At 37.7% G+C, this 14146-nt stretch overlaps 1 annotated feature.

The window, feature by feature from the left end:
• Window positions 233-766: an enhancer, noted in NCBI's record as "OCT4-NANOG hESC enhancer chr8:122198893-122199426 (GRCh37/hg19 assembly coordinates)". NCBI's record gives its function as "activates a minimal SCP1, AML or CMV promoter by ChIP-STARR-seq in primed H9 embryonic stem cells {active_cell/tissue: H9 hESC(primed)}" and the evidence as "EXISTENCE:reporter gene assay evidence [ECO:0000049][PMID:30033119]".

Below are 14146 nucleotides of genomic sequence, written 5' to 3'. Positions count from 1 at the left end.
AATCTTTTTCATCTTTCTTTTAGTTTTTTATACAGAGTTCTAAGTAGAGGAAAAGAAACTCTCCTTTAGCAATTTTTAATCTGTCTAAGGCAGCAGTGCCAAGATATGGCTTGAGAGCAACGTCTAACTGTGGAGATACATCAGGCCAGAGGAAGATGAGGAGGCAGAGAACGCACCATAGGATGTTGTAGATCAACGGCATCCATGTTCATTTACAAGCTAACATTTGATAAAGTTTAGGAAGGATACTGCTAAGTGGGATGCCCTTGTACTCAGATAAGTTTTTCTTTTACTGATATACTCTGAAAAGTAGGATTAAATAGTTGACAATAGTGATAAGTAGCTGTTAGTTGTACAAATCAGCTATTTATGTTTCAATGACTGTCAGCTATCTTAGTGAATGTAACTGCTGTCAACCTGGCCATCTTGCCTGCTCTTTCTCTCATCCCCAAACCATCTGTGCACTCCCACCAAACTGGTCATTCTACAGCACAGCAGTCTGCATACCACTGCTGAAAAGCCTTCAATTGCTCCTCTTTGTCTAACAATTAGGTTGGTGCAAAAGTAATTGCGGTTTTTGCCGTTGAAAGTAATGGCAAAAATCGCAATTACTTTTGCACCTCGAATAGAACCGTCTTTAGCTTGTCATTCAGTGTCTTCCACATTCTCGACACAGTTGACTTCAGTTTCTTATACTCAAGTTCAGAAAAGCAAACCGACAGCCTCTTAGACTCGATCATTTCTAAAATATTTTGAGTTGTTAGTATGATTTAACATATTGTATAAGTTGTCAACATTTAAAAATCAGAACAGAGTACATGACAACCTAGATTTTTGTCATTTTATTTCTTTTTTATTTCTTTAATTGGCAAAGGTATAATATATATACACAGTGTACAACATGTTATTTTGAAATATGTATACATTGTGCAATGGCTAAATCAAGCCATTGATTTAGTAGTAACATGCATTACTTTACATATGTATCATTGTTTCATAGTGAGAAACACTTACAATCAATTTTCAAGAATACAATACATTGTTATTAACAACAGTCATCATGTTGTATAATACGTCTCTTGACTTTTTCCCTCTTATCTCACTGAACCATCATCTCCCCGGTTCTTGCATCTCTCTTGCATTCCTCTGCCCCAGCCTCTGGAAACTACCCTTCTGCTCTCTGCTTCCGTGAATCTAAAAAATCTAGCCTTTTTAGATTCCACATACTAGTGAGGTCCTGTAGTATTTGTCTTTTGGTGCCTCATTTATTTCACTTAACAAAATGTTCCCTAGGCTCATTCATGACACAAATGATAGGATTTCCTTCTTTTATGAGGCTGAATAATATTCTATTGTGTATGTATACCACATTTTCTTTATTCATTCATCCGTTGATAGACACTTAGGACGATTCCATATCTTGTCAAGAACATGACAGGCTGCCATAAACATGAGAGTGCACGTATCTCTTTGACATACTGATTTCATTTCTTTTGAATGTATACCCCAGTAATGGGATTGCTGGATCATATAACAGTTATATTTTTATTTTTTAATGAAATTCCATATTAATTTACATTTCCACCAAAAGTGTTTCCATTTCTCCACATTCTCTTCAATACTTTCATCTTTTTGATAAGAGCCATTCTAACAAGTGTGAGGTGATATCTCATTGTGGTTTTAATTTGCATTTCTCTCATTAGTGATATTGAGCATTTCTTCATATATCTGTTGGCCATATGTATGTCTTTTTTTTTTTTTTTTTTTGAGACGGAGTCTCTCTCTTTCACTTAGGCTGGAGTGCAGTGGCGTGATCTCGGCTCACTGTAGCCTCCGCCTCCCGGGTTCAAGCAATTCTCCTGCCTCAGCATATGTTTGTCTTCTTTTGGGAAGTGTCTATTCAGGGTCTTTGCCCATTTGTCTATCAGATGTGTGGTTTACAATATTTCCTTCTTTAAAAATTCAGAATTTCTGGCAACATTGGTTCTTCATTCTTGTGTGACAATAATCACTGTAGCCAAGCAGCACCTGCTCCCTTTGAATGGGCAGAACCTCTCCAGTTCTTCACAGGTGCCATAACTCCCTATGACTCTTGCATTCACCAGTATAGACTTTGGTTTCAAATCAACCTGGATTCACTTCTCTACTCAGCCACTTACTGGCTTTGTATTCTTGAGTAAGTTCTTTAATGTTTAAAAATATCAGCTTCTTTGTCTGCCATGTGAAGCTAAGACTCTTGCTCATTTCAGACAGTTTTGTGAAGATTGGGAGAGACAATACATGAAGAGGGCTTAGTACAGCCTCCCATACTTAAGTACTCTCTAAATGTTACCTATATAGTTGTTCTTCTTAATACAGAAGCATTCTCGGCATTTATTTTTACTGTACTTTTTGAAGGCAAAGAAACTTGCAGCTGAATAATCAAAACGACAATGACCCAGTCTTATTTGCAGCCTATGAAACAAGCAGCAACAAAAATCTTATTTCATCTCTTTTACTAGATAGTAAAACATTAATATTTGGCATTTACATAACACCTGCAGAATGTAAAACAGCTGAGGTTGGTGTTTCATGAAGGAGCCCTCAAAGGGTTCTACCTTCTGAACAAATCTCATTAAAATCAAAGCAACATGATATTACCACCTTCCTTAAAGGAATGGCAGAATTTCACATTTTAACAGAGAAATTGACCATAAGAGAGCACAAGAAGTTATCTTCTCCTTGCCTAAAATTCTGTAGCCCTATTGATCCTTCCTGGCATACCATACGTAGGCCAGATCAACCTCTGTCAAGAAAGAGAATCTGAAATCAAATCATCAAAAACATAAAGGATCTATTATATATGACCAAAATAATGAGTTTGATGCGATTTAGACAGTCGATGGAAGAAGAAGAAAAAGGGAGAAAAAGAAGGAGCCCACTTACTGACCCTAAGCTCTGTGCTTAGTGCATGATCTCACGATTCTAACTATAAGTAGGCACTACTGCAGTCTCCGGTTGCTAGACATAGAAACTAAAGTTTGAGGCTCAGTGTTACACAGACAGTGAGTGGTGGAGGTGGGATTCCAATGCAATTCTTATTTTTCTGAGAGCTTCATTCTGCTCTTATTCACTGTGCTCTAATATTGAAGGGGCTCTGTGAACGTATCTAAACAAATTAAATTACTTTATTCAATAACCATTTAGAATCTCCAAGACCTTTACTAAATTCCACCCTCCTAGAATTAAAGAAAACTTTTGGATACTGAGAGAAGTAAATTAAAGGTGTGCAAATGGAATTTCTACTGAATACTCTAGTCAGTGATCATTACTTACAAAATGGAACGTTTCCTGTAAATTTTACTGAGATCAAAGAATAGTAACCGGCCTGGTGCGGTAGTTCATACCTGTAATCCTAGCACTTTGGGAGGCTGAGGCTGGAGGATCACTTAAGCCCAGGAGTTTAAGACCAGCCTGAGCAAGATGATGAGACCTCATTTTAAAATAATAATAATAATAATAATAAAGAACAGAAACCTATTGATAAAGAGTTTTTAAGAGTATAAAAATACACTTGAATGTCCTTATTGCTTTAATCTTAAAATTCTATGTCAAATATTCAGACGTCTTATTTGGATGATTCTTGGTCTGTTCCCCTGATGTATTGCTCTTTTTAATATGTTCTTGTTAAAACGAGCAATCATTGCATCAACTGAGCACAATCATATCAATAGTAAATGTAATTTAAATTTGAGACACACTCAAGTATGATCCCACTAACAAGTAGATTTAAGGAGCAAAAAGCAAAAACTAATTCTGCCTTTCAGTGGGAAAGAAAGACTAATATGAGCATCCATTACATGCCAGTTACTTATCTATATGATATTGCTTAATTATCAAAAAGCCCAGTGAAGTCAGAATTATATCCCCAGAAGTTCAAACCGCGGCACAAAAGAAAAGTATTTGTTCCAAATCACATTCCTCACATATAAGTGCGCCAGCATTCAAATTTGGACTCTCAAACTGCAAAGCTTCTAATAATCTTTCAAGGTCAGAAACATATTATTTTTCCCTCACAGTTTTGGAAGTATAATTTTAATAATAAAAATATTTTTGTTTGTTCCTTTTTAAATATTTTCCAATTTCTAGAGAGATAAAAGAGCAAAGAAATGTAGTGTAAAACTTCCACCATTTCTATGATCAAGGGTAGTGACAGCATTCACTACAAGTAGAAACCGCCTGTTTGGTTTGGGAAAATGCATCAGTGGGTCTTCGGGTTATGGATGTCTAATATGCAGCTGAAAGACACAGAAGCAAAACTTCTTTAGCTAATGAAGATAATAGGTGTTTTCTTAGGTGGAGAGAGAGTCTTCTAATAGTAATTGGTTTTTTTTTGTCTTCTCTGCATTGAAAGTGAAGAAGTAGGGCCGGGTGCAGTGTCTCATGCCTGTAATCCCAGCACTTTGGGAGGCCAAGGCGGGCGGATTGCCTCAGCTCAGGAGTTCGAGACCAGCCTGGGCAACATGGTGAAACCCCATCTCTACGAAAATACAAAAAATTAGCCAGGCGTGGCAGCGTGCGCCTGACGTCCCAGATACTCGGGAGGCTGAGGCAGGAGAATTGCTTAAACACGGGAGGCAGAAGTTGCAGTGAGCCGAGATCGTGCCATTGCACTCCAGCTCTGGCAACAGAGCAAGAGTCCATCTCAAAACAAAACAAAACAAAACAAAACAGTGGAGAAGTAACGAACTTGGGGTCACTGATCTGATAATTGAGAAAAGAGTGAAATGTGAGATGAGTACACCTGGGACAATAACAGCCAGCAATGACTCCCGAAGATGGAATGGAACTCTGGGACTTTCGAAGGAATAATATATGCCATTGACCTTAAAGTGATTTTTTTCTTCTATTTTGTAAATCCCTTATGCTATCCTCAAATTCACAAGAAATTGGATACATCTTGTGACGTATTACACAGGGATTAGTGGTTCATGTAATCCCAGCATTTTGGGCGGCTGAGATGGGAGGATTGCTTGAGCTCAGGAGCTCAAGACCAGCCTAGGAAACATAGTGAGACCTCATCTCTACTAAAATGAAAAAAATTGGCCAGACGTGGTGCACACCTGTAGTCCCAGCTACTCAGGAAGCTGAGGCAGGGATCACTTGAGCCCAGGGGCTCAAGGCTGCAGTGAGCCACGATCATGCCACTGCATTCCAGCCTGGGGTACAGTGGGGGACCCTGTCTCAGAAAAAAAAAAAAAAAAAAAAAAAGAAGAAAGAAAGAAAGAAAGAAAAGAAAAAGAGAGTCTGATACACATAAGAACTTTGTATCAGACATGCTCTCAAGCCCTGCCCACACATGAAACAGGTCAAGCACTACTAATACTTACTGAGTACTTATATTGTGCTGAGCACTGTCTATCTATCTATCTATCTATCTATCTATCTATCTATCTATCTATCATCTATCTATCCTCCTTAACTCTCACAGAAAACATAGTAGATAAGTAATTTAAAAATATACATTTTTTAAATGTGGAAGCTGAGATGCGAAGAGAGTACATAACTTGGCCATAGTTAGGTAGCTAGTAAAAGTTGGGTCTGGGATTTGAATCTGAGTCTTCATTCTTAACCAGTTTAAATGACGGCGATGCAACTACTCCTACATTTCTTTTTGTGGAAGGGCAGTACATTGGTAAAGTTGCACCTGAAACAAACAAACAAACAAAACAGTGCTTTTCACAATGCCTGTAAAGGCCTGAGATGAGTGGATAGTGATAAGTAGCAAGAAGGTGACAGTGGAGAAACTGGCTGTAGCATGGATATGACACAAAAGCTCTTTTCCCCAAAGAGTTTACAGAAAGTAGTGAGTTATTCAGTATACAGGAGTGAATCAAGCAACCTATGACAGGTTTATAGAAGGATGGTTAGAGTAAATAAAGCTTTCTACCACTTCTGTCATTTATTTTTCACGGCATCTTGCCTGACCTTGCCTGGAGAATCCCAGACCATCTCTAGCTGGTTGGGGCACATGCCAGGGCTTTCTGCCCGTGGACCTGTCATCATTTGTTCCAGCTGTGACTAAATGAATCAAGGATGAAGGAAGCAGAGTCCTATTACCAGAAACAAGTCCGAAAAATAATTAGGATGCCTGCCAATCTTGACTTTAACATTCACCAACCTCTCATTCAACTAACCCCTCTTGATTCTTCCTACTTTAGTCTGTTTCTCCCACTCATACCCTACCTGCATAGACAGTACCCTAAATCACACTCCCAGTGCAGGAATTCTGTAATCCAAATATTACAATATGTTACAAATATATAATATGTGCTTATCTCATTACTAACGCTACCTTTGATTAAATACACATGTATTTTTAGAATGACTTCACATTCATTCCTATAAAGTGCCTTTTATATTCACTAGCTGGGGAAGTTTTAAAACACCTTCAAATCTTTGATCTCCTCCTGTTGAGAAGTTAAGAATATGCCATGCCTCCTTGCTTTCTTTTTTTTCTAATGTAAAGTTGCTGCAATTTATTCAATTGTGATGTGACTTGAGTGACAAGTAAAGGAACAATTAAAATCTACTCCTTTAGCAATTTTCAAATATATATTATTAACTGTAATCACCATGATACACGATAGATCTCAACTTATTCCTCCTAAGTGAAATTTTGTGTCCTTTGACCAATATCTCCCCAACCTCCTGGCCTCCAGTAACCACCACTTCACTCTTTGTTTCTATGGGTTTGATGTTTTAACACTCCCTATGTGTGAGATCATGCAGCATTTGTCTTTCCTTGCTTGGCTTATTTCACTTAACGTAGTATCTTCCAGCTTCATCCATGTTTTCACAAATGACAGGATTTGCTTCTTCTAAAAGGCTAAATGGTATTCCATTGTGGACATACAACACATTTTCTCCATCCATTCATCTGTTGATGGTCATCTAGGCTGATTCTTTTTCTTGGGCATTAAAAATAATGCTGCAATGAACATGGGAGTCAGACAGCTCTGTGATATACTGATTTTACTTCCTTTGGATATATTCCCAGTTGTGAGATTTCTGGATCACATGGTAGTTCTATTTCTAATTTTTCAAGGAACTTCCATACTGTTTTCTATAATGCCTATACTAATTTACATTCCCATCAAAAGTGTACAGGTTTCCCTTTTTTTTTCACATCTTCACAAACAATCTCTTGTCTTCTTTTTTTTCAAATTTTTATTTCCATAGGTTTTTGGGGAACAGGTGGTGTTTGGTTACTTGAATAGGTTCTTTAGCAGTGATTTGTGAAATTTTGGTGCACCCATCACCCAAGTAGTATACACTGGACCCAATTTGTAGTCTTTTATCCTTCACCCTCTTTCCACGCATTCCCCCTGAGTCCCCAAAGTCCCTGCTTGCTTTCTGAGTGGGCTTTTAATGGAATGTGGCAGAAAAGTTTTTGCATGACTTCCAAACCTAGATCTTAAAAGGTCATGCAGCTTCCTCCTAGCTCACTGGAACAGTTTCTCTGCAAGCCTTGACTGCTGTGTAAGAAGTCAGATTACCTTGAAACTACCATGATGGAGTAACCAGCTGTATGCATTCTAGTCAACAGTCTCAGTAGAGTCCATTCACTCCGCCATACCTACCAAGCAAGACATGAGTGCAGAAGCTGCCAAATTATTCCAGGCTCCAGCCATGCAAGTCACTCTTACAGTCATTTACACAAATAGCCATTTGTGTCCTTACAGTCGAGGTCCCAGAGATGGACATGACATCATGATGTGCACTAATAAGATATTTGTTATTTTGTGACACTTAGTTTTGAGGTGGTTTTCTCTGCAACTGTAGATAACCAGAACACCAGCGTTTTAATAGAATTTCAAGATAGGAGAAAAATAAATGGAATAACAAGTACTATTCACTTGGAACATATGCATAGGAATATGTCTCACCAAAACACATCAGCTGTCGTTTGTATTTCAACAGAGAAAAGATTTAAAGCTCCTGCCCTAGAATCTTAGAGTCTTTACTAAGGGAGAAACTTACCCACTCCTACCAACATACCTCTAAAAAATCATCTCATCTCATGATGGGCAAGATGTTCAATTTTGAGTTCTAAAAATCTAATTAAAACAAGTTTCAATTTAACAAGGGGATACATGTATGACTTGGAAAAATACCAAAATAGCACACAGAGAATCAAAGAGCTTCAGGGATCAGGACATGGTTTCAGGAGACCCAGTTCATCAGAACTGTCTCACTCTCATTCAATTATATCCGATCTCTGTCTCTGCGTGGCTTTATTCAAATATCATTGAAAATGGTAACCAGCATGCAATTCCATAGCCTCCAGTGCAGCAATATCAGCAGAAAGATTTTCCCCCCTAGAAGTCACTTAATAACATACAAAAGAATCCATGCCTATCCTTTGGGATAATCATTGTGTCAGGATGGGGTGCTATGATTAATCCATGCTAAAGGACAAGACATCCCTGTGCTGGAGCCTAAAAGGGATAAGTGACAGTCTCACACAGGCCACATCACAATGTGGAGAAAAATTCTTAAAAGAAAAGGAACACTTTGGCTAGAAGAAAGAAGTTGGAATAATGTGATGAGAAGACAAAAATCTGATAGCAATCCTAGCCTACTATCCCTTTTCTTCCATAAGTAAATAGAAGATTTAAACTCAGTATGGAATGTTTGGCTCAGTCAGTCTACAGTGTTAAGATTCCATAAAATGTAACATTTTGGAAAACTATACCATCCTTACCTCATATATGCCTTAAACTGTGTACTCTAATATTAAAAGTAAGATCAACGTATTTGGAAAACAAAGTTGCTGATGAGTTGTCAGAGGAAATTATAGAGAAAATTAAATTTATTAAAATTATATACATTTAATTTCCCCTCTTAAATTGTGTGCAAAATAAATTGGATTCTTAACAATTTTATACTAAAACAGAAAGCAAAACCTCAAAATATATTCAACAAGCATTCCTATATGTATTATTCATAGAATAATTTCTTAATAGGTATGAGTATGCTTTTGTATGGACATATTCATCCAATGCCTTGGAAATGAGGAGTACAAAGTGCTTTCTTAACCTGCAAGAATTAATTGCAAATTATAGAAGTATCTATAAGGTAGAAAAGAAATCGTGATTTAACTGGAAAAGTTCTGAGCACTGAATTTAGAAAGACCTCGGTCCAGATACTTCACCTCTTTCATCTAGTTTCAGCCTTCATGTAATGGAGGTCATAAAGGAGTCATGACATATGTGAGTAAATGATTAAGTCAATCAAGTCAACTTAATTGGTTGCTTATGTCCAAATTTTACTTAAGATAGAGATTAAGCTAAAAGAAACAGGAACAAGTTAGAAAGTACATTTTCTCAGATCCTTCCATGGGTCAAATACAACCCATTGCTTATTTTGTAAATAAAATCTTATTGGAACACAGCCACCCTCATTTATTTACATGTTGTCTACAGATGCTTTAGTGCTTCAAGGACAAAAGTGAGAAGTTAGGACCAAACTATACAGCTGCAAAGCCTAAACTACTCACTACCTGGCCTCTTCAAAGAAAAAGTTCAATCCTTGCTATAGTTCAAACTCTTTTAAAGAGGGAATTCTTATGAACTCAAGATAATTCCACCCTTTTTTCTTTCCATCCTAGTGAGTTAGAACAGAATTTTGATCACTTATCTTTTCAAAACAAACTCTTGACAGAGAAGTTTATTGGACCATAAGACTACATTTTGATTGCTACTTCACCAAGGACAGGGCAGGAGTCCTTGGTCTTACTGTTGCTGTCTATCCAACTTTCCCTATATGAACTGGATATTTCTTTTTTCATCTTCCTTTCTTCTTCAATTTCTGTTCTAGAGTGAATGAAAGTGTACACAAGTTTGGATCAAAGAATCATTAACTCTACGGTAGTTCCCTCTGTCTGTGGTTTCACTTTCTACAATTTCAGTTACCTGCAGTACTAAGATATTTTGAAAGAGACAGGGCACATTCACATAACTTTTATTACAGTACATTGTTAAAATTGTTATATTTTACTATTAGTTATTGTTATTCATATCAAATTATGCCTAATTTATAAATTAAGTTTTATCATAGGAATTATGTATACTAAAAAAACATAGTATATATGGGTTTGGTACCATCCGTAGTCTCGAGCATCCACTAAGGGTCTTGGAGCATATCCCCCCATGGATAGGGGAGGCTATTGTATTAGTACCTAGGAAAACAAGCTGTTAATGATGGTCACCTGAGAAAATGACCATTGACGTTGGAAAGGTAGGAAATATTTATTTGAGAATGCAAAAAATCCACTTCTGAAAGTGGTTGGCTAATATAAAGGAAGTGGAGGTGCAGAATGGCAGGGTAGCTGTTCAAGAGAACACTCTCCCTCTCTTTGTGGCTAAAAGCAAAGAGATTTACTGAATATTCAAATCGCTGTCTGTTAAAGATGTAGTTACTAATTTATTTCTATAGAATAATACATGAGGCATGCAGATAGCTGAAGACAGCAGTGGACACCAAAAAGACAATGCAAAGTGCTCATAGAGTGACCCAGGTCAAGAGACCAAAGTGATATATAGATAGAGAAACAACCTATGGAAGGCTAATTGAAGCAACCTGACTCAAGATGATTTTCACCAGCAGGAGCAGTGCAAAGGAATTGTCTATAGATGGCTCTACAAACTTGGGCTTAGAGAAGTACGGTAAGCACCTGTGTAATCCAAGGCCTGAAAGTAATACAGAAATGGAAAAATCTTAATTCTTTTTTTAAGGCCAAAGCTAACCCAGGAGGAATATGATTATGGGAGCCTTAGTTTGGAACATCAGTCCTATGGGCAGCACTGGGCTAAACGACTTCCTCGGTGCTTGGAATGATAATAATAATAAAAAGCAGAGTAAGTTTTAAGAAAAGAAGCTACAGGTGGGAGCCAGAGAAATTCCCAGGATTAAGTCCGAGGAGTGAAGGTTTAAACAAGAAAGAGGAGTTGAGAAAGCCAAAACATGTCAGGAATCAGAGTAAACTGCAAGGAGAGAAACCATTAAAACAGAGACAATGCTGAAAAGGGCATGCATCGTTGAGGACCCCACTCTTAATAAACTGGGTGTAGTCTTTAAGGAATGGAGACAGGCCAGCTAACCTAAAGGCATGGGATTTAACGTACACTTACAACATTTCATACCATTTGATTTGCCTATTTCTGCAATACCTGATAATGTGGGTTTTATTTTCTTTCCATGAAAAGTTATTTTTGTACATTGTAGCCAGTAACATTGTCGAAGAGAGATTGTTCCAGGTATCCAATAAGAGGCTCAAGACTGTAGAAACCTCTACAAAGTAAATAAAAACCCTCTATAACATGAGCCTCTGAGAACTATAGTATACACCTGATTCTCCCACAAGTTGATTTATGAACTGGTTACCCTATTCTTACAGCAGGCTTCTTCTCACATAGGTCTACTTTATTTGTTATGTTAACAGCATCTAGTTGGTCCCAGCTGTTCCCAATACTAGTACACTTCATACTCTGTAAGTCTATCCCCCTTAAACTTTGACAGACAGCAACACTGCCTTGCAGAAACCAGAACTGACTGTTTAAGAACAGTCTGTGTAGGCTGGCTAACACATCCTTTTCTACATATTTAACATCATCTGGAAGCATTTTTGTTTTCCATGAAAAACACACATCACCTGATTATTCTATGGTTCATTGCTATAGAAAATGTTTCCTAAATAAAAATAACTAACAGAAAAAACTTTTAAAAATACAAGAACAGAACAAATCTATGCAGTTCTTTATTAGCATGATTTCAGTGGCCAAGAATTTAGGAAGATCATCTCCCAAATAGATTGACATAAAACTGATGTATTTGAGCCAGGTGGTATTTAAATACTAATTGATAATATGGCAAAGATTAAGGAGAGTACACCTGCAAAAAAATTCTTGAGATGGATTTAATTCCCCAAAGCTACTACCATAATCAAATCCAATCACGTAAAATTCATGTTTAAAAATACTTTAAAGAAAAAGGCAGTAGTCATCATTTGCCTGCTTCTTTACTTCAAAACTTTCAAAAAATAATGTCAAAAGGATTTATGCTCATGGGTTTTGGTTTATTCTGCTAAAGACAGTAGAAATTTCTTTAGTTTTTCACTGCTTGAAAAGGATAAAGGTGGAAATGGAAGGATTTTATCTGTAAGTAATTTTAACAATTGATACCCAAAGCTGCTAAAATATGAAATTAATTAAGAGAGAAGGGAATAAGTATAAAATTACATTCTAGAACAGATCTTAGACACTCAAGATCTAGCCTTAAATATGTGAAATATTAAGATGTAAGCAGTATGGAGAGGTGGAGACTGTGGAAAACTGGGGAGTGTCCTCTTAATAAAATTCAAAAATCACAGCACTTTAAAGCAGCATGATGGAATAAGGTCAAAGTCTACTGTATTTTGAATGTCAGCAATGGTCTACAGCCATACCACCCTGAACACACCAAGTCTCATCTGAGTATTAGCAATACTTGATATAATTGAAGGCATGCTTCATTTTACTACAGTAGATAAACATTAACAAGAACTGTGAAAAGTCCTCAAATTCTTTATTTCATTTAATCTTAATTCTCTGAGGTAGGCATGATTATCCCCACTTCACAGAAGAGGAACCTGAGATTGCAGTCTAGGGCCTGGAATAATTCCTGGCACACAGTAGGCATTCAATCAACATTTGTTGAAAGTCTGAATGAATGACAGAACTTTTCCCATCTATATTTTATATCATGATGTGAGGCTGAGACTCTGTAAGCTTTATTTTCCTCCTATTGGGTTTTGTCAGTGAGGGACACTAGAGGGAACAGGAAAGCAGGAGGAGGGGAGAAGGAGCTTCTTCCTATCCAGCGTCACATCAGCCACAACCTTTCTCCCAACAGCAACAGTTGATTCTAGTCTCCAGCTTCTTTGACACTGACACAACTGGCCTCACTGCATCCCCACAGAGCTACCAGCAGCAGCTAGACAGCACCTCCTGTTCCGAGGTCTGAGCCCTAACTCCTCGAAGCCTCTCCTCCAAGCTCTTGAGGTAGCAGCATGAGCCAGGTGGCACTCCCTCCTTAGAAGCCAGAGTCCTTAGCTCCCAGGGACGACTGCATGTTCCTGAGTACAATGACCAGCCGGCCAGCTTCCTCTCCTCCAAGTTCTGCATCCTAGCTCTGCAAAATCTCTCATTTGAGTTTCTAGATTCTGAAAACCCCAGCTCTTTTTATTCCTCCAGCCGAGGGATGGAAGCTCTTTCTTGTGTTTCTTCTGTTTCTTATACTACATCAGTGTTTTTTTTTTCTTTTCTCCAATTTCAGGCTTCCAATCCCAAATTAACCAATTCTCAATACCTTTCTGTCAAAATACCTAATATGGTTCTAGTTTTCTGCCTGGGCTATGAGTGATATAGGATAGCTACCTCATAGAACGATTTTGGTGATTAGTTTATATCTAGTTTCATAGGAGATTCTTATCAAACATTATTTGATTCCTCACTTAGAGTATATGACTCTCTCCCAGTTTAATATTTTCTACATATTTGATCATCATCCTTCTATGCCTTCACCCAAGGTGATATGGTTTGGCTGTGTCCCCACCCAAATCTCACCTTGAATTGTGGCTCCCATAATTCCCATGTGTCATGAGAGGGAACCCGTGGGAGGTAACTGAATCACGGCAGGTCTTTCTCATGCTGTTCTCATGATAGTGAATAAGTCTCAGGAGATCTGATGGTTTTATAAAGGGGACTTCTTCTGCACACGCTCTGTTGCCTGCCACCATGTAAGCCGTGTCTTGCTTCCTCTTTGCCTTCTGCCATGATTGTGAGGCCTCCCCAGCCATGTGGAACTGTGAGTCAATTAAACCCCTTTTGTTTATAAGTTGCCCAGTCTCAGCTATGTCTTTATTAGCAGTGTGAGAACAGACTACTACACAAGGTAATGCCAATACAGCTAACTAGAACTACTGAAACCCTGTTTTATATCAACAGAATTCATCTTCAAAATTGACTCCACTCTTTTAGGTGTGTTACTATCTTTCTACAATGAGAATGAATGATTTTCATCATTGGATCATGAAAAAATTACACCTATTTTCATTTTGAAAAAA

This window comes from Homo sapiens, chromosome 8 (genome assembly GCF_000001405.40).
Source record: "Homo sapiens chromosome 8, GRCh38.p14 Primary Assembly".
NCBI lineage: Eukaryota > Metazoa > Chordata > Mammalia > Primates > Hominidae > Homo > Homo sapiens.
This window is presented reverse-complemented; position numbering and strand designations above follow the sequence as displayed.